We start from the raw sequence: 20560 nt of genomic DNA on the forward strand, positions 1-20560 counted from the left end.
CTTAGGGTAGTTTTCAAAAAAGATGTTTTAAGAAATAGAAGTTATTTTGACAATAGTTCTTAAGAATGAAGCTTTTGTTGTCATTGTTGTTGTTGTTTTTAATATAAAGATAAGGTCTCGCTGCATGGCCCAGGCTTCTCTCAAATTCCTCAGCTCAAGTGAGCCTCCCACCTTGGCCTCCCAAAGTGCTATGATTACAGGCATGAGCCACAGCTCCTTGCCCAGAAGGAAGTTTTTATCAACATGGGTAAATGCACCTCCCTTACTTACTGCAGCCCTGGTCCAGACCTTACCCCTCTCTCTAGGCTGTGAAGCTTCATGGAGGTATCGATATCCTAGTCTCCAATGCTGCTGTCAACCCTTTCTTTGGAAGCCTAATGGATGTCACCGAGGAGGTGTGGGACAAGGTGAGAGGGGATTAAAGAAGCGCGGAAGGGGGCCTCGGGACACATTCAGCACAAACTCCATCTGCTTTTAGAATGCATTTCTCAAGGGCAGTGTAAATGTGAGGACTCTTTGCCACGTGCCACACACCTGGAGCACACCTTGCAAAGGGCAGGTGGGGGTGGCTCTTTCTCTGCCCTTCTCATTCGTTTCTGCTGCTCCTAGTTCTCTCTGCTTCTATCTGCTCTTCATTAGCCACTGCTCCCCTCCCCAGGCTTCTTCCCTGGCATGCTCTTCTGCCTTGTTGATTTCCAACAGAGACGTAGGCAGCTAATATGCCAACAACTACAACACTTAATTTACACACCCACCTGTCCTCTTTTCAGCTGACAAAAACTAATCATTTTTTATTAGTTGGGAAATATTAAATGCTGCTAGTTATTTAAAATACTAATTCTGGTGAAATGACCAGTTGCCACTTTATAACATACATCCTTTAAAAAAATAAAATAAAAACCTATGTTATTTTCTTCTTAACTGCAATGTCAAGAAAATCTGAGATCCAGATGTCTAAATTCAAGTGGTAGAATATTGGGTTTTATGTGAAAGTGTATAATTACATTATATTCATAATATATTTCACACACACCCTTTAATTACAAAGCTTTAATTAAAATATTTGTCTTTGTTTATTAAGGTTAATATTCCCACATGATTGGGAAATGCTAATTTTTATGATCTCCCATGGTTCTGCGTTTTACACTGATGTTGTATTAGTCTGTTTTGCATTGCTATAAAGGAATACCTGAGCTGGGCAATTTATAAAGAAAAGAAGTGTGTTTTGGCTTACGATACTGCAGACTGTACAAGAAGCATGGTGCCAGTATCTGCTTCTGATGAGGCCTCAGGAAGCTTACAATCATGGCAGAAGGAAAAAGGGAGCAAGTGTGTCACATGGCAAGACAGGAAGCAAGAGAGAGATACCAGTCTCTTTTAAACAACTAGTTCTGGCATGAAATAATAGAGTGAGAACTCACTCATTGCCACAGGGAGGGCACCAAGCCATTCATAAGGGATCCACCCTCATGACCCAAACACCTCACACCAGGCCCCACCTGGAACACTGGTGATCACATTTCAACATGGGACTTAGAGGGGACAAACTTACCAACTATATCAGGTGTCATCAAAATTTCTCAACACTAAAGTATCAGGTTGCCAAAATACTATGATTTATTTACCAGTGTTTCATACACATAAAGACCAAACTGCCAAAATGTTCTTCAGTGAGCTAGTTTTTGATTCTAGTTTGAGCTAGTTTGAGAGAAGGCTGGGCAACACAGCGAGACCTTTTCTCTATATTAAAAACAACAACAACAACAATGACAACAAAACCTTCCTTCTTAGGAACTATCATCAAAATAACTTCTCTTTCTTAAACCATCTTTTCTTCAAAACTACCCAGAGATTTGCTGCTAACCATTTAAGTTTGGCTTCTTTCTTTCTTTTTTTAGACAGACTCTTGCTCTGTCTTTTTTCCTTTTTTTTTTTTTTCCCCCTCGCTGTGTCATTGAGGCTAGAGGGCTGTGGTGTGATCTCAGCTCACTGCAACCTCAGCCTCCCAGGTTCAAGCGATTCTTGTGCCTCAGCCTCCCAAGTACCTGGGACTACAGGCATGTGCCATCATGCCTGGCTAATTTTTTGTATTGAGATGGGGTTTCACTGTGTTGCTCAGGCTGGTCTCAAATTCCTGGCCTCAACTGATCCCCACACCTCAGCCCCCCAAAATATTGGGATTACAGGCATGAGCCACCACACACAGCCAGATTCTGATAGTCTTTAAAATAAAGGAGCATCATTCATGAACAGTCTGAATACAGACCATATGAAAGTCAGTTTTAAACTAAGTACAGGCACGCCTCAGAGATATTGTGGGTCTGGTTCCAGGCCACCACACAATAAAGTGAATATTATAATAAAGTGAGTCACATGAATTTTTTGGTTTCCCAGTGCATATAAAAGTTAGGTTTACATTATAATGATCATCTAATGGAAGTCTATTAACTGAGCAATAGCATTATGTTTTAAAATATATATACGTATCTTAATTTTAAAATACTTTATTGCTAAAAAAATGCTGACAATCATCTGAGCCTTTACAACTTGTAATCTTTTTGCTGGTGGAGGATCTTGCCTCAACATTGATGGTGGCTGACTTAGGGTGGTGTTGCTGAAGGCTGGGGTGGCTGTGGCAGTTTTTTCAAATAAGACAGCAGTGAAGTTTGCCACATCAGTTGACTCTTCCTTTCACAAGAGATTTCTCTGTAGCATGCAATCCTGTTTGATAGCATTTACCCACAGTAGAACTTCTTTCAAAATTGGAGTCAATCCTATCAAACTCTACCACTGCTTACTCTACTAAGTACCTATAATATTCTGAATCCCGTGTTGTGATTTCAACAATATTCATGGCATCTTCACCAGAAATAGATTCCATCCCAAGAAACCACTTTCTTTGCTTATCCGTACGAACCAGCTCCTCAGCCATCTACATTTTATCGTGAGATTGTAGCAATTCAGTCCTATCTTCCAGCTCCGCTTCTAGTTCTCTTGCTATTTCCACCACATCTGCAGTTCCTTCCTCTGATGCAGTCTTGAACCCTTCCACGTCATCCATGAGGGTTGGAATCAACTTCTTCCAGACTCCTGTAAATCTAGATATTTTGACCTCCTCCCATGAATCACAAATATTCTTAATGGCATCTAAAATGGTGCATCCTTTACAGAAGGTTTTCAGTTAACTTTGCCAACATCCATCAGAGGAATCACTATCCATGGCAGCTATAGCCTTACAAAATGTATTTCTTAAATAATAAGTCTTGGAAGTCAGAATTACCCCCGATCCATGGGCTGCAGAATGGATGTTGTGTTAGCAGGCATGAAAACAACATTAATCTCCTTGTACATCTCCATCAGAGCTTTTGAGTGACCAGGTGCATTGTCAATGAGCAGTAACAGTTTTAAAGGAATCTTTTTCTGAGCAGTAGCCATCAACGGTGAGCTTAAAATATTCAGTAAACCATGCTATAAACAGATGTGCTGTTATTCAGGCTTTGTTGTTCCATTTACAGAGCACAGGCAGAGTAGATTTAGCGTAAATCTTGAGAGCCCTAGAATTTTCAGAATGGTAAATGAGCATTGGCTTCAACTTAAAGTCACTGGCTGCATTAGCCCCTAACAAGAGAATAAGCCTGTCCTTTGAAGTTTTGAAGCCAGGCATTGACTTCTCCTCTCTAGCTATTAAAGCCCTACATGGCATCTTCTTCCACTAGAAGGTTGTTTCATCTACATTGAAAATCTGTTGTTTGCTGTAGCCACCTTCATCAATGATCTTAGCTAGATCTTCTGGATAACTGGCTGCAGCTTCTACATCAGCACTCGCTGCTTCATCTTGCACTTTTATGTTACAGAGGTGGCTTCTTAAACCTCATGAACCAACCACTGCTAGCTTCCAACTTTTCCGGAGCTTCTTCACTTCTCTCAGCCTTCAAAGAATTAAAAAGTTAGGGCCTTTTTCTGATTAGGCTTTGGCTTAAGGGAATGTTGTGGCTAGTTTGATCTTCTGTCCAGAACATAAGAACTTTCTCTCCATATTAACAATAAACCTCTTTTGCTTTCTTATCATTTATATGTTCAGAGAAGTAGCACTTTTAATTTCCTTCAAGAATTTTTCCTTTGCATTCACAATTTGGCTAACTGGTGCACATGGTCTAACTTTCAGCCTGCCTCAGCTTTCAACATGCCTTCCTCACTAAGCTTAATTGTTTCTAGCTTTTGATTTAAAGTGAAAGATGTGTGACTCTTCCTTTTGCTTAAACACTTACAAGCCATTGTAGGGTTAATAGTTGGCCTAATTTCAATGTAAATGTGTCTCAGGGAATATGGAGGTCCACAGAGAGGGAGAGAGATGAGAGAAGGGCAGAGCAGTCAGAACACACAACATTTTTCAATTAAGTTGACCTTCTTTTCTGGGTGTGGTTTGTGGTACCCCAAAACAATTATAATAAAACCATGAAAGATCACTCATCACAGATCACCGTAACAGATATAATAATAATGGAAAGGTCTGAAATATTCCAAGAATTACCAAAATGTGACCCAGAGACAAAGTGAGCACATGCAATTGGAAAAATGGCTCGAATTAATGCAGGGTTGCCACGAAACTCCAATTTGTAAAAAAAAAAAAAAAAAAAAAAAAAAAAAACAATATCTGCAAAGCATAAGAAAATATGTGTCTATAACTTTTCTTTTAATTTGTATATTTTTTAAACTATCACAGTATGTCAAATCCAAACATAATGGCTGATCCTTGATTGAACTCTGGACTTTAAAAAACACACACACACATTTGGGGGATAATTGAGGCCAATATGTTAGATAAAATTATCATCATTGTCAAACTCTTGGTTGTGATAACAGATTATGGTTGTGTAAAAGAAAATCCTTACTCTTTGGAAATGTATGCTAAGTATTTGGGGATAGAACATTGTACTATCTGCAACTGAGTTTACTTATTTTATTTTAGGTTATTTATTTATTTTTGTGATGGAGCCTCACTCTGTTACCCAGGCTGGAGTGCAGTGGTGCTATCTCAGCTCACTGCAACCTCCACCTCCCGGGTTCAAGCTATTCTGCTGTCTCATCCTCCTGAGTAGCTTGGATTACAAACACATGCCACCACGTCTGGCTAATTTTTGTATTTTTAGTACAGACGAGGTTTGCCATGTTGCCCAGGCTGTTCTCGAACTCCTGACCTAAAAGTGATCCACCCATCTTGGCCTCCCGAAGTGCAGGGATTGCAGGCATGAGCCACCATGCCCAGCCCTGAGTTTTTTTTTTTTTAATTTACATTTTTTTATTTTTGTTCTTTGTAATTTTTGATTTTATTATATAAAATCTTTCAGAAAACTTGCAACTGAGTTTCAATGGTTCATTTAAAAAACTGTACAGATCTACAGAGAGGACAAATAGGACAAAATGTGAACAATTGGTGACTCTAAGTGAAGGATATCTAGACATTCATTGTACTTCTATCTCCAATTTTTCTGTAAGATTGAAATATTTTAATATAAGCAGTTGTCTAGAACAGTGTAAACAGGGTCATACATTTGTTTTAGATTATGGATGTGGGGATTCTGATTGTAGCCTGTCCCCCAGCTTCCCCAGAAGGTGACTCCTCATGATCCCACTTTCTAACCATGCCTAGCCAGACAGTCCTTCCTAGAGGGCCAAGAACATCTCACTCCCTAAGCCCAGAAGCCAGAGAAGTGCTAGAACAACCCCACATATCCAAGGTCAGGCCACATTTTCCCTGAGAAGCATGGCCTACTCTAGGGCAGGTCCAGGAGGCTGACAATTCCAGGCTCTACCTACTTGGAAGAAACAGAGAAAACACAGCTCAAATCCAAAGGCCCCTTCTGGCCCAAATCATACTTGGCTGATTATGAAACAAGATGAACCAGGCTCCATTTTTGCTCACCTGAACCTAATGTATCATTATCTAGCTGAGCAGCTGGTGAGAGCTACTTCTCCCTGAACCTCAGTTCCTTCATGTGTAAGATGCAGGTATATCATCCTAAGATCTTCGTCAGCTCTGACAAACATCCTAGGAACCCACTCTAACTCCTCATTTTTTCATGCCTCCTCCAGTGCTCTTCACTCATGCTGTTTCCCCTTCTTCTCTTGGCTTCAGACTCTGGACATTAATGTGAAGGCCCCAGCCCTGATGACAAAGGCAGTGGTGCCAGAAATGGAGAAACGAGGGTACAGAGAGTGAGAGAGAGCCTGGGTGAGAGGGGACCCCACACAGGCTGAGGGCAGTGGTCCACACTGGGAAGACGGTCAGCTCTCTTCTTTTTCCAGAGGCGGCTCAGTGGTGATCGTGTCTTCCATAGCAGCCTTCAGTCCATCTCCTGTAAGAACCCTTTTGTCTACCTCTTCCATCCCACCCTCCACTCCACATCTTTCCACCCCTCCTATTACCCAAAGAAGTTTGTGTCCCCTTGTAGAATCACACCACCAAGTCCCTGCCCACAAAATAGATGCCTTGCCTCCACAAACCATAACCTAGGGGAGGTTTAGCCACAAGACAGTTTCCTAACTCTGCCCCTCCCTTACAGGAGATCCCTACTGAGCACTGCCCTCTATGTCTAGTTATTAGAACCAAGAATGACCTGGAAACTATGAGTCTAACACATTCTCTTCTTTCTCCAGGGCTTCAGTCCTTACAATGTCAGTAAAACAGCCTTGCTGGGCCTCAACAATACCCTGGCCATAGAGCTGGCCCCAAGGAACATTAGGGTGAACTGCCTGCACCTGGACTTATCAAGACTAGCTTCAGCAGGATGGTGAGGAAGGGGAGCTTTGCATTTGACTGGGACCCCTTGAAAGGCATCCATCTTCTTGGACAGGGAAGCCCACTACCTGAGTCCTGAGCTCTCAGCCACTCCATTCTCCTTCCCTGGACTTTCCCATATTCCCTCTCTGTACCACCTGCCCTATACAAGCCACACTCTTATCACACCTTTTCTGAGGTATAGGCTGGAGACTGAGGTATTCAGACTGTACTCACACTGTTTCCTCCCTCCTTACATGGATGAGAATTGGAGAGACGCAGCAAAATGCATCACTAGAACCTGAAACAAATGAAACAGATGAGGGCAGTGGGGAGAGCTGGGAGCTAGAAAAAAATAGGAAGTGAAAGAGGGAAGTCTCTCACCCCATCCCTCCTCTCAGTTACCATGAGGATGGGCAGTTTCTTCCCTTTCCATTCTTCACTTTCCTCTTCTTTTTTTTTTTTTTTTCTTTTTTAATTATTATTATTATTATACTTTAAGTTTTAGGGTACATGTGCACATTGTGCAGGTTAGTTACATATGTATACATGTGCCATGCTGGTGCGCTGCACCCACTAACGTGTCATCTAGCATTAGATATATCTCCCAATGCTATCCCTCCCCACTCCCCCGACCCCACCACAGTCCCCAGAGTGTGATATTCCCCTTCCTGTGTCCATGTGATCTCATTGTTCAATTCCCACCTATGAGTGAGAATATGTGGTGTTTGGTTTTTTGTTCTTGCGATAGTTTACTGAGAATGATGGTTTCCAATTTCATCCATGTCCCTACAAAGGACATGAACTCATCATTTTTTATGGCTGCATAGTATTCCATGGTGTATATGTGCCACATTTTCTTAATCCAGTCTATCATTGTTGGACATTTGGGTTGGTTCCAAGTCTTTGCTATTGTGAATAATGCCGCAATAAACATACGTGTGCATGTGTCTTTATAGCAGCATGATTTATAGTCATTTGGGTATATACCCAGTAATGGGATGGCTGGGTCAAATGGTATTTCTAGTTCTAGATCCCTGAGGAATCGCCACACTGACTTCCACAATGGTTGAACTAGTTTACAGTCCCACCAACAGTGTAAAAGTGTTCCTATTTCTCCACATCCTCTCCAGCACCTGTTGTTTCCTGACTTTTTAATGATCGCCATTCTAACTGGTGTGAGATGATATCTCATAGTGGTTTTGATTTGCATTTCTCTGATGGCCAGTGATGATGAGCATTTTTTCATGTATTTTTTGGCTGCATAAATGTCTTCTTTTGAGAAGTGTCTGTTCATGTCCTTCGCCCACTTTTTGATGGGGTTGTTTGTTTTTTTCTTGTAAATTTGTTTGAGTTCATTGTAGATTCTGGATATTAGCCCTTTGTCAGATGAGTAGGTTGCGAAAATTTTCTCCCATGTTGTAGGTTGCCTGTTCACTCTGATGGTAGTTTCTTTTGCGGTGCAGAAGCTCTTTAGTTTAATTAGATCCCATTTGTCAATTTTGGCTTTTGTTGCCATTGCTTTTGGTGTTTTGGACATGAAGTCCTTGCCCACGCCTATGTCCTGAATGGTAATGCCTAGGTTTTCTTCTAGGGTTTTTATGGTTTTAGGTCTAACGTTTAAATCTTTAATCCATCTTGAATTGATTTTTGTATAAGGTGTAAGGAAGGGATCCAGTTTCAGCTTTCTACATATGGCTAGCCAGTTTTCCCAGCACCATTTATTAAATAGGGAATCCTTTCCCCATTGCTTGTTTTTCTCAGGTTTGTCAAAGATCAGATAGTTGTGGATATGCGGCATTATTTCTGAGGGTTCTGTTCTGTTCCATTGATCTATATCTCTGTTTTGGTACCAGTACCATGCTGTTTTGGTTACTGTAGCCTTGTAGTATAGTTTGAAGTCAGGTAGTGTGATGCCTCCAGCTTTGTTCTTTTGGCTTAGGATTGACTTGGCGATGCGGGCTCTTTTTTGGTTCCATATGAACTTTAAAGTAGTTTTTTCCAATTCTGTGAAGAAAGTCATTGGTAGCTTGATGGGGATGGCATTGAATCTGTAAATTACCTTGGGCAGTATGGCCATTTTCACGATATTGATTCTTCCTACCCATGAGCATGGAATGTTCTTCCATTTGTTTGTGTCCTCTTTTATTTCCTTGAGCAGTGGTTTGTAGTTCTCCTTGAAGAGGTCCTTCACATCCCTTGTAAGTTGGATTCCTAGGTATTTTATTCTCTTTGAAGCAATTGTGAATGGGAGTTCACTCATGATTTGGCTCTCTGTTTGTCTGTTGTTGGTGTATAAGAATGCTTGTGATTTTTGTACATTGATTTTGTATCCTGAGACTTTGCTGAAGTTGCTTATCAGCTTAAGGAGATTTTGGGCTGAGACGATGGGGTTTTCTAGATAAACAATCATGTCGTCTGCAAACAGGGACAATTTGACTTCCTCTTTTCCTAATTGATTCCTCTTCTTAAACATAAAGAGATTTCTGGGTGGGGTGGCTCATGCCTGTAATCCCAGCACATTGGGAGGCCGAGGCGGGCAGATCACGAGGTCAGGAGGTCGAGACCATCTTGGCTAACACGGTGAAACCCCGTCTCTACTAAAAATACAAAAAATTAGCCGGGCGCAGTGGCGGGCGCCTGTAATCCCAGCTACTCGGGAGGCTGAGGCAGGAGAATGGCATAACCCGGGAGGCGGAGTTTGCAGTGAGCCAAGATAGCGCCACTACAGTCCGGCCTGGGCAAAAGAGCAAGACTCCGTCTCTAAAAAAAAAAAAAAAAAAAGAAAGGAAAAGAAAAAAAAACATAAAGAGATTTCCCTTCTTCCTACAGCTCTGGATGGACAAGGAAAAAGAGGAAAGCATGAAAGAAACCCTGCGGATAAGAAGGTAAACTGTCATGAGGGCAAGGGCACTAAGAGACATGAAGATGGGAAGGTCTGGTCCCTAGCAGCCCACAGCCCGCTGTCTCAGTCCCACAGATAACACAGGCAGGCTCTCTTCTGCCTCACAGACCACGAATTCATAAACACTATCACTACAGTGACCTGAGCAAGAAGTCAGCTTCCCTTTCCAAAGGTAAACACAGAGACATCGGGGTTTCAGCAGTGCAGAGGTCTCGGAGAAGCCCTGAGTCCTCTCTCCACCTGGGGGATTGCCTCCACCTCTGAGCATCCATGGAGACCAGGGACCATAACCAAAACCATGCTTTGTTAGTCCCCTTGAATAATGACACATGTTTACAAAACTCAGGTTGATGATCTACAATCCAAATGAAAAGAATGAAGAGTTTTACTAAGCCCCAAACTCCCCTTGCCTAAGGAGTTACTTTCTTCCCCAGTGAGCTGGGTGAACTGTTCAAGCACCTTTGTCGGGCTCCCTTTCCTCTAAGTTCCCTGCCTCTCTCTACCTTCTGGCTTCAAGGACAAATGCCAGTAATGCCTAACTCTGTACTCGTCCAGACATCCCAAATCTTCCCAAAGCCATTCTGATGTGAGACATGAGCTGCAGGCCTGGTTCATAACTCATTAATAAGTGAGGGGATTGTCAACCTAGAGCACCAATGAATGATCTAGCCCATGTAGCTCAATACTGGATTCACATTAGAATCACCTGGGGAGCTTTTTAAACTGCAGGTGCTCAGGCCCCACCCACTCCCAGAGATTCTTTTTAATTGGTCCAAGGTAGGACTTGACCATCTGGGCTTTTGTTTTTCTTTGTCTTTTCTTTTCTTTTCTTTTTTGGTTTAAGCCTCTCAAATGATTGCAAGATACAAGTAGAATGGAGAAGCATTAATTCAGCCCTTCTAGGTTTGAGTTACTCACTCTGCCCACCTCTAGAGCATTCTATGGCAGGGAGATTAAAGTGTCTCCTAACTATGCAGTCACTGATAAAATAAGAATTAGCACATTCTCACTAAATGAACATGACTTTAAGGCACAAGTATAGATTCCTGAAAAAGTTCTAAGCTGAACCTGTACAAATGGAATCATTTTAAACACACCATTTACTGTCACACAGACTCCCTGATACTTTAGTGTGTGCACATGTGAAACCATTTTTTTGAAGTATGAAATAATTAATTGCTCACCATTTTATCTATATAACTTTGGATTTTGGTGTCCTGAGCTCTCTAAAAACCGGTGTGTTTCTATAGTATTTGAATATTATGGGTAATAGTTTTGCAGAGTACAGTATGCTTATACTAAATTATAACAGCATATCCTCGTGGTAACCCTATTTGATAGGCAGAAAGCTTGTACACTGATCCTGAAAAGTCATCTGATAATTCTTGATTAAGCAAATTTAACTCCCCGTGTCCCAGGTGAGGGAGGCAGACCCGTTTGATTTTTACCTCCTTCCTTGCTTCCCTTATTCCCCAGGTTAGGCGAGCCAGAGGATTGTGCTGGCATCGTGTCTTTCCTGTGCTCTGAAGATGCCAGCTACATCACTGGGGAAACAGTGGTGGTGGGTGGAGGAACCCCGTCCCGCCTCTGAGGACCGGGAGACAGCCCACAGGCCAGAGTTGGGCTCTAGCTCCTGGTGCTGTTCCTGCATTCACCCACTGGCCTTTCCCACCTCTGCTCACCTTACTGTTCACCTCATCAAATCAGTTCTGCCCTGTGAAAAGATCCAGCCTTCCCTGCCGTCAAGGTGGCGTCTTACTCGGGATTCCTGCTGTTGTTGTGGCCTTGGGTAAAGGCCTCCCCTGAGAACACAGGACAGGCCTGCTGACAAGGCTGAGTCTACCTTGGCAAAGACCAAGATATTTTTTCCTGGGCCACTGGGGAATCTGAGGGGTGATGGGAGAGAAGGAACCTGGAGTGGAAGGAGCAGAGTTGCAAATTAACAACTTGCAAATGAGGTGCAAATAAAATGCAGATGATTGCGCGGCTTTGAATCCAATTGACCTGTTCATTTCTCAGTGTTGGGTGCTTAGCTGAGCAGAGAGCAGAAGTCTATTCAGGCTGGATCTCTGGATCCCCCAGCCCTCCTCCCTGTCTCCAGAACTTGAGCGTGATGTTCACGGGTGGAGGTGTCTGCAGAGCTGCCAGCTGGAAGGAAGGTGGCACGGGAACTCCCAGGACGCCACGGGAATCCCCGAGGCAGCGCGAGCCCGGAGAGAGTGGGGAAGGATGAACTCTCTAACACCTCCCCGCCCCTTGCCTCCCAGATCAGGCCAGGTCCTCTCCCCGCATGGCCCTACGTCCCGAGTTCCCTCCCGAGTCAGCAAGTACAAGCTGGATGGGTCCTGAGCCGGTGGGGAATAGAGAAAGGCCCTGCAAGGTACCCAGGCCCACAAACAAAAGAAATGGGTTCTGCCCACGGGCCCGAGGATTCAGTAGAAGGAAAGTGGGGACGCTGTCCCCCGCCCCAAAGGCACTGACACTGGGCGACACACGCTGAGCCTCTCACACCGACGGGCCTCTCACGCCGGAGCCGGCAAGAAAGGTCGGCGCCAGCCCGCGGGCTCTCAGGAGGCTCGGCAGCGCGACGCGCATGCTCAGTCGGGCAGCTCTCCGGGCCGGCGTGGGAGCCCGCGCTCCAAAGCCCGGTGGGGGGAGGGGCGCTCACGCAACCGCCACTGTCTGGAGCGGGCTCGCCTCTGCGGCGGCACTCACCGCCCGGGCTTTACTGAAGCGGAGTCTAGCATGTGCGGCTGCTCCACAGCGGTGTGGGTGGCGGCGGCTCCTCTGCAGCAGCCTCGGCAGTAGGGGTCACGGTGGCCAAGCCCACCGTGGAGCTCATCTGAGAGTTGTAAGGTACGGGACTGCCTCGGTCTTTGGGACGCCCCGTCTGGTAGCATCCCAGATCCAGCACGTTCCTTCCGGCCCTGCACCCCGGCCCGGTGCCTCACACCCCGCTACCCCATGCATCCAGACTCTAAGGCAGCCCCTGCATCTCAGTCCTGACATCGCTGTCCCTGGAGCATCCTCCGCTGGAGCTGGAGCTTGACAGGTAGGGTGGAGAGGGCCGTGGGGGGGGTGCGGAAACTGCATCAATTAACGGGGCCGTGGGGGAGGGAAGTCCTCCATTGCTAAGGCTTCAGTAGGCGTTCTATGATCACAGTGTAAACAAAGCTGCAGGGAAGCTCTAACTGGGCGGAACCCACCGCAGCTCAGCAAGGCCTACTGCCTCTCCAGATTCCACCTCAGGGGCCAGGGCATATCTGAGCAAAAGGCAGCAGACAGCTTCTGCAGACTTCAGTGTCCTTGCCTGACATCTCTAAAGACAGCAGTGGTTCTCCCAGCACGGAGTTCGTGCTCCGATAACGGACAGACTGCCTCCCCAAGTGGGTCCCTGACCCCCATGTAGCTTGACTGAAAAACACCGCCCAGTAGGGGCAGAGAGACACCTCATACAGGTGGGTGCCCCTGTGGAACAAAGCTTCCAGAAGAAGGATCAGGCAGCAATATTTGCTGTTCTGCAGCCTCCTCTACTGATACCCAAGAAAATAAGGTCTGGAATGGACTTCCAGCAAACCCCCAAAGACCTGCAGCTGAGGGGCCTGTTAGAAGGAAAACTAACAAACAGAAAGGAATAGCATCAACATCAGCAAAGGACAGCATCAACATCAGAACAGGAAAGGACATCCACACTAAAACCCCATCCATAGGTCACCAACATCAAAGACCAAAGGTAGATAAAACCACAAAGATGGAGAGAAACCAGAGCAAAAAGGCTGAAACTTCCAGAAATCAGAACGTCTCTTCTCTTCCAAAGGAATACAAGTCCTCACCAGCAAGGGAACAAAACTGGATGGAGAATAAGTTTGATGACTTGACAGACGTAAGCTTCAGAAGGTCAGTAATAACAAACTACACCCAGCTAAAGGAGCATGTTCTAACCCATTGCAAGGAAGCTAAAAACCTTGACAAAATGTTAAACGAATGGCTAACTAGAATGAAGAATCTAGAGAAGAGCTTAAATGACCTGATGGAGCTGATAACCACAGTACAAGAACTTCATGAAGGATACACAAGCTTCAATAGCTGATTCAATCAAGTGGAAGAAAGGATATCAGTGATTGAATATAAAATTAATGAAATAAAGTGAGAACACAAGATTAGAGACAAGAAAAGAAAAAAGAAACATTCAAATTCAGGAAATACAGAGAACATCACAAAGACACTCCTTGAGAAGAGCAACCCCAAGACACATAATTGTCAGATTCAGCAAGGTTAAGGGCAGCCAGAGAGAAAGGTTGGGTTACCAACAAAGGGAAGCCCATCAGACTAACAGCAGATCTCTCAGCAGAAACCATACAAACCAGAAGAGAGTCGGGACCAATATTCAACATTCTGAAAGAAAAGATTTTTGGAACTAGAATTTCATATCCAGCCAAACTAAGCTTCGTAAGTGAAGGAGAAATAAAATCCTTTACAGACAAGCAGATGCTGAGAGAGTTTGTCACCACCAGGCCTGCCTTACAATAAGAGCTCCTGAAGGAAGCACTAAACATGGAAAGGAACAACCAGTACCAGCCACTGCAAAAACATACGAAATTGTAAAGACCATTGATGCTATGAAGAAACTGCATCAATTAATGGGCAAAATAACCAGCTAACGTCATGACAGGATCAAATTCACATATAACAATACTAACCTTCAATGTAAATGGGATAAATGCCCCAATTAAAAGACACTGACTGGCAAATTGGATAAAGAATCAAGACCCATATGGTGTGCTGTATTCAGGAGACCCAATCTCACGTGCAAAGACACACATAGGCTCAAAATGAAGGTGTGTCTGGAATTGGTGGGTTCTTGGTCTCACTGACTTCAAGAATGAAGCCACGGACCCTCGCAGTGAGTGTTACAGTCCTTAAAGGCAGCGTGTCCGGAGTTTGTTCCTTCTGATGTTCAGACACGTTCAGAGTTTTTTCCTTCTGGTGGGTTCGTGGTCTCGCTGGCTTCAGGAGTGAAGCTGCGGACCTTCACAGTGAGTGTTACAGCTCTTAAGGCGGCATGTCTGGAGTTGTTCGTTCCTCCCATCCGGAGTTGTTCATTCCTCCCACTGGGTTCGTGGCCTCACTGGCCTCAGGAGTGAAGCTGCAGACCTTCACGATGAGTGTTACAGCTCATAAAGGCCGTGTGGACCCAAAGAGTGAGGGGCAGCAAGATTTATTGCAAAGAGCGAAAGAACAAAGCTTCCACAGTGTGGAAGGGGACCCAAGCAGGTTGCTACTGTTTGAAGGGGTGGCTTGCCCCTCCACACCTGTGGGTATTTCTAGTCAGGTGGGACGAGAGACTGAGAAAGAGAAATAAGACACAGAGACAAAGTATAGAGAAACAACAGTGAGCCCAGGGGACCGGCGCTCAGCATACCAAGGACTTGCACCGGCACCGGTCTCTGAGTTCCCTCAGTTTTTATTGATTATTATCGTCATTATTTCAGTAAAAAGGAATGTAGTAGGAGGGCAGGGTGATAATAAGGAGAAGGTCAGCAACAAACGTGAGCAATAGAATCTAATAATTCAGTTCAAGGGAAGGTACTATGACTGGACATGCACGTAAGCCAGATTTATGTTTCTCTCCACCCAAACATCTCGGTGGAGTAAAGAATAACGAGGCAGCATTGCTGCAAACATGTCTCGCCTCCCACCATAGGGCGGTTTTTCTCTCATCTCAGAACTGAACAAATGTACAATCGGGATTTATACCGAGACTTTTAGTTCCCAGGAGCAGGCAGGAGACAGTGGCCTTCCTCTATCTCAACTGCAAGAGGCCTTCCTTTTTTACTAACCCACCGCAGCACAGACCCTTTATGGGTGTCGGGCTGGGGGACAGTCAGGTCTTTCTCATCCCAGGAGGCCATATTTCAGACTATCACATGGGGAGAAACCTTGGACAATACCCTGCTTTCAAGGGCAGAGGTCCCTGCGGCTTTCTGCAGTGCACTGTGCCCCTGGTTTATTGAGACTAGAGAATGGCGATGACTTTTACCAAGTATACTGCTTGTAAACATTTTGTTAACAAGGCACGTCCTACACAGTCCTAGATCCCTTAAACCTTGATTTCATACAACACATGTTCTTGTGAGCTCCAGGTTGGGTCAAAGTGGTTGGGTCAAAGTGGCTGGGGCAAAGCTAAAAATTAACAACATCTCAGAAAAGCAATTATTTAAAGTACAGGTCTTTTTCAAAATGTAGTCTCTTATGTCTTCCCTTTCTACATAGACACGGTAACAGTCTGATCTCTCTTTCTTTTCCCTACATATCCCCCTTTTCTTTTTGACAAAACTGTCATTGTCACCATGGCCTGTTTTTGCTGGTCACTGTCTTTCTGGAACTGCTGGATACACCTGTAGACTAACAATAGAGAGGGCAGACATACAAGGATTAATACAAAATTTGCAATAGTGGAATTTCCAATGGTTTTAACCCAAGTGATGGGGGCAAGAGGACAGTGTGGGTGCTCCGGCACCCAGGCAGTCTCCCTTCTCCTTTGTCTCTTAGTTGTTGTTTCTCATAGTTTTCAATCTTTCTCCTCACCTGCTCACTCGCACTTTTTGTTTCATTGTCTCCCTTCTCTTATGGTCTCTCTCTCTTTTTCTCTTTTTCTTCCTTTTACACTATTTCTTTTCCCAGTCTCACTTTCTGTGTCTCTCTCTGATCTCTGTCTTTCTCTTTTACATTATTTTTTTCCCCAGTCTCACCTTCTGTGTCTTTCTCTGATCTCTGTCTTTTCCAGTCTCTCTCTTACTCATTTTCTCCCTCTCTTTCTCTCTCTCTCTCTCTCTCTCTGTCTGTCATCCCGTGTCCTCTCTCCTTCACACTCAGTCTCTTTTTCTTTTTCTTTTTCTCCCTGGCTCTCCACATCTGCCGTTTTCTCTCCTTTCTCTTTCTGATTTCTCTTCTCACTTTCTCTCTTCCTTTCTTTCCCAGTTTCTCTTTTTTCTCTGTTGGTCTTTCCCAAATAATGAAAAGGAGTGGAGGTCTGAATGTTATCAGATGCTATTGTCAGGCCTGCGTTTGCAACCTCTGTCTGCAGAAATGTGTAACAGTCAATTAATTTGTCTCTCGTTTCTGCAGCACTCAAAATATCATCAACATAATGAATAATATAACAGTCTGAAAACTTGTCTCTAACTGGTTGAAGAACTTGAGCTACAAAAGTCTGACAAATAGTTGGACTATTAAGCATTCCCTGAGGCAACACTTTCCGCTGAAATCTGGTGGCTGGTTTTTTATTATTTATGGCTGGTATAGTAAAAGCAAATTTTTTTAAATCCTATTTTGCCAGAGGAATGGTAAAAACGCAATCCTTTAGCTCAATTATAATTAAAGGCCAATCTTTGGGGATCATGGCCGGAGAAAGCAGCCCAAGTTGGAGAGTCCCCATGGGTTGAATTACTGCATTGATGGCTCTCAAATCAGTTAGGATGCACCATCTGCCTGATTTTTTCTGAATTACAAACGCAGGAGAATGCCAAGGTGAAAATGAAGGCTCAATGTTTCCCTTTTCTAATTGTTCCTTTGCCACTAAGTGTAAGGCCTCCAGTTTTTGCTTTGGTAGTGGCCACTGATTTACCCATACAGGCTTTTCTGTTTTCCCAGTTAATGGAATGGGTTTTGGAGGCTCTACAGTGGCCACTCCTAAAAAGGATACCCTATTTCTTTTTTTTTTTTTTTTTTGGATTTTTTTAGCCTCAATTGGGACTTTAATGCCTTCTCCATTTTTCCCTAGTCCTTTACCAGAGAGATATCCCATTTTAGTCATGATTTTTTGACTCGTGGGGCTGTATAGGGAGACTGGAATAGTAATCTCTGCATGCCACTGTTCTAACAAGTCTCGGCCCCATAAGTTAATTGGAATAGAAATAATCATAGGCTGAACTGTACTCTCTTGATTATTAGGGCCTAGACAATGTAAAATCATGGCACTTTGATACACTTCTGAGGCGGTGCCCACACCAACAAATCCTGTAACAGGCTTTTGTTTAGGACAATTTTTTGGCCATTGATTTAAGACAATAATAGAAACATCAGCCCCAGTAGCCACTAATCCTTCAAACTGCTTTCCCTGAATAGTGACTGTACACACAGGTCTATTCTCTGAGAGCTGACTAGCCCAATAAACAACTTTTCCAGCAGGGTTGGTACTTCCAAACCCTCCTGTTCTTTCTGTTTTGCTATTCCCAATTTTAATATAAGGCAAAAGCAATAATTGAGCAATTCTATCACCTGGATTGGCACTCCAGGGAACAGCAGAGCTGATCACTAACTGAATTTCCCCTTTATAATCTGAATCAATTACCCCAGTATGAATTTGGACTCCCTTTAAATTTAGACTTGATCTTCCTAAAATAAGGCCTACCATCCCTTCTGGCAGCAGGCCATACACCCCAGTAGGAATCTTTTGAGGGAGCACTCCAGGGAGTGAAGAAACCATTTGAGTAGAACATAAATCTACTGCTGCGCTGCCTGCTGTGGTGGGGGATAACTGTTGTATTGTTGTAATTGGCTGATTCCCTGGAATGGTGGTATTTACTGTGGGGGTTGTTGTCCCTGAAAACCCTGAGGAACAAATGGCTGAATCAAGAATGCCCCACTTTGTTGCGGGGCCTGGGGCTGGTCCCTCTTCTCGTTTCCTGACAATGGTTGCCCATTTTTATCAAATTTAGAACAACATTCCTTAGCCCAGTGTTTTCCTCTTTCACATTTTGGACACAGGCCAGGTGGCTGTTTATTTTTGTTCTGTTTATTTAAGACTGGGCAATTCTTTTTTAGATGACCGATTTGACCACAATTATAACATTTTCCCCCAAATGTTTTAACTTGTCCTCCTAAAGCAACCCCCGTAATTGCTTGAGCCAGTAGCATTGCCTTATGCATAGTTCCTCCAATCCCATCACAAGCCTTCACATATTCTGTAATTACATCAACTCCTGCTGAAACCTTTCCTCTTAATGGCTTTATGGCCAATTGACATCCTGGATTTGCATTTTGATAACCCATTATTTCTACAACAACTTTTTGGGCGTTATCATCTGCAATCGATTTTTGAGCTGCATCTTGCAACCTTGCCACAAAGTCTGGATATGGCTCTTTAGAGCCTTGTCTGATTGAACTAAAAGAAGGGCAGGAGGTTCCTGGGTCCTGAATCTTTTCCCAGACCCTGAGGCAAATAGCCCTTAATTGTTCAATAGCCTCATTCTGCATTACTGATTGTTGGTTAATAGTGCTCCAATTTGGACCTGTTTCTGGCAATTGGTCTGCATCTATATTAACAACAGGATTAGTAGCCTGATTTTTCCATACCTGTTCTTGTACTCCGTCAATCCACCAGGTTTTAAATTGTAGATACTGAGAGGGTGAAAGAGAAGATTTAGCCAAAATTTCCCAATCATAAGGAATAAGTCTATTCCCATTAGCAATGGAATCTAATAATGTTCTCATATAAGGAGAGTTGGGTCCATATTGTTTAACTGCCTCCTTCATATCTTTTAACATTTTCATGGTGAAAGATTCATATCTAGCCTCAGTTTGGACAGACGCTCCTGCTTGACTCCGTTTTCCAGCCGGTATTGGTTGTAAAATTACCAGGAACTGCCCTGCCTCAAGATCTCCCTGTTTTCTGGCTTTATCAATGATTTTTTGCAGTGCACTATCTTGTCCACTAGGTGGTAGTGTAGGATCAAACACCATCGCCATGGGTTGTTGCTATACTGCCCTGCTATTTGGCACAGGACACAACACCTGGGATCTATACTGAACCACTGGAGACGGCCGATACTGAAATTCGGCTGATGGCTGGTGTTCATAAACTACTGATGGTTGGGTTTTATTTTCTACCGGCTGATATTGTGGATACTGTGTCTGGATTGGCATTTGAGGTTGTAATGTCACAGGCATCTGAACCGTGGGAGAAGGAGTTGTTGGCCATCGTGGTCTAAACTCTGATGGACCAAATAATTCTGGACCTCCTTCCTCCAATTTTGATGATTTAGGATATATTACCTCCTGTAATTGATTATAGTCAACATTTTGTGTTGACCGAACCATTGCAGACTCTACTACATTTTTACAATGTGAACTTTCTGTTCCATTCTTGAACTGTCTTCCTACCTCTTCTTCACAAACTATTACACAGCTTTCAGGGGCATCAGAAACTGAAATGCTATCTTCTTCTATTTGAAATAGTTCTCAAGTTGCTTTAATAATAGCCCAATCATTCCATGCTGTAAGTGGGATGATTTTACCTTCCCTACTTGCTTGTTTTAATTCTTTGCTAATTTTTCCCCAGTCTTTTAAATCTAAAGTTCCCTGTTCTGGAAACCATGGGCAGAATTGTTCTATTGTTTGAAATAGCATAATTAGATTCTCTGTAGAAGCTTAAACTCCCTGTCTTAAGAGAATTTTAATGAAGCTGAGATAAGAGGCATATTTACTTCCAGTTTGCCCCATTGTTACCCTGGATTCCTCCAAGTGCACAAGCTTACCGCAAGGCTGACCGTGGATGTACTCGGGAATCTCTTGTTGGCTGTCCTCAATACTCACTTAGCGTACTTTCACCCTAGAGAAAGGCCCCATGTTGGATGCCAGATGAAGGGGTGGCCTGCCCCTCCACACCTGTGGGTATTTCTAGTCAGGTGGGATGAGAGACTGAGAAAGAGAAATAAGACACAGAGACAAAGTATAGAGAAACAACAGTGGGCCGAGGGGACCGGCGCTCAGCATACCAAGGACCTGCACCAGCACCGGTCTCTGAGTTCCCTCAGTTTTTATTGATTATTATTGTCATCATTTCAGTAAAAAGGAATGTAGTAGGAGGGCAGGGT

General features: G+C 43.8%; 1 protein-coding gene and 1 pseudogene across 7 annotated transcripts in view; both read left to right on the forward strand.

Moving 5' to 3' along the window:
- DHRS4L2 (dehydrogenase/reductase 4 like 2) overlaps positions 1-11682 on the forward strand; it is a 36535-nt gene extending 24853 nt beyond the window's left edge. The window contains exons 3-8 of one of the 4 annotated variants that reach the window (NM_001193636.1): positions 306-407; positions 6137-6207; positions 6307-6358; positions 6658-6791; positions 9611-9666; positions 11160-11682. In NM_001193636.1, coding sequence (NP_001180565.1) covers positions 306-407; positions 6137-6207; positions 6307-6358; positions 6658-6791; positions 9611-9644 — 393 coding nt within the window. In that variant the 3' untranslated portion in view covers positions 9645-9666; positions 11160-11682. The remainder of the gene's footprint in view (positions 1-305; positions 408-6136; positions 6208-6306; positions 6359-6657; positions 6792-9610; positions 9667-11159) is intronic. The other 3 variants (NM_198083.4, NM_001193635.1, NM_001193637.1) reach the window with 3 other exon arrangements.
- DHRS4L1 (dehydrogenase/reductase 4 like 1 (pseudogene)) overlaps positions 12358-20560 on the forward strand; it is a 44294-nt pseudogene continuing 36091 nt past the window's right edge. For all 3 annotated transcript variants that reach the window (NR_171045.1, NR_102688.2, NR_102687.2), the window contains exon 1: positions 12358-12735. The product of NR_171045.1 is annotated as a dehydrogenase/reductase 4 like 1 (pseudogene), transcript variant 1 (transcript). The remainder of the gene's footprint in view (positions 12736-20560) is intronic.

The sequence above is a fragment of the Homo sapiens genome, chromosome 14, assembly GCF_000001405.40.
Source record: "Homo sapiens chromosome 14, GRCh38.p14 Primary Assembly".
NCBI lineage: Eukaryota > Metazoa > Chordata > Mammalia > Primates > Hominidae > Homo > Homo sapiens.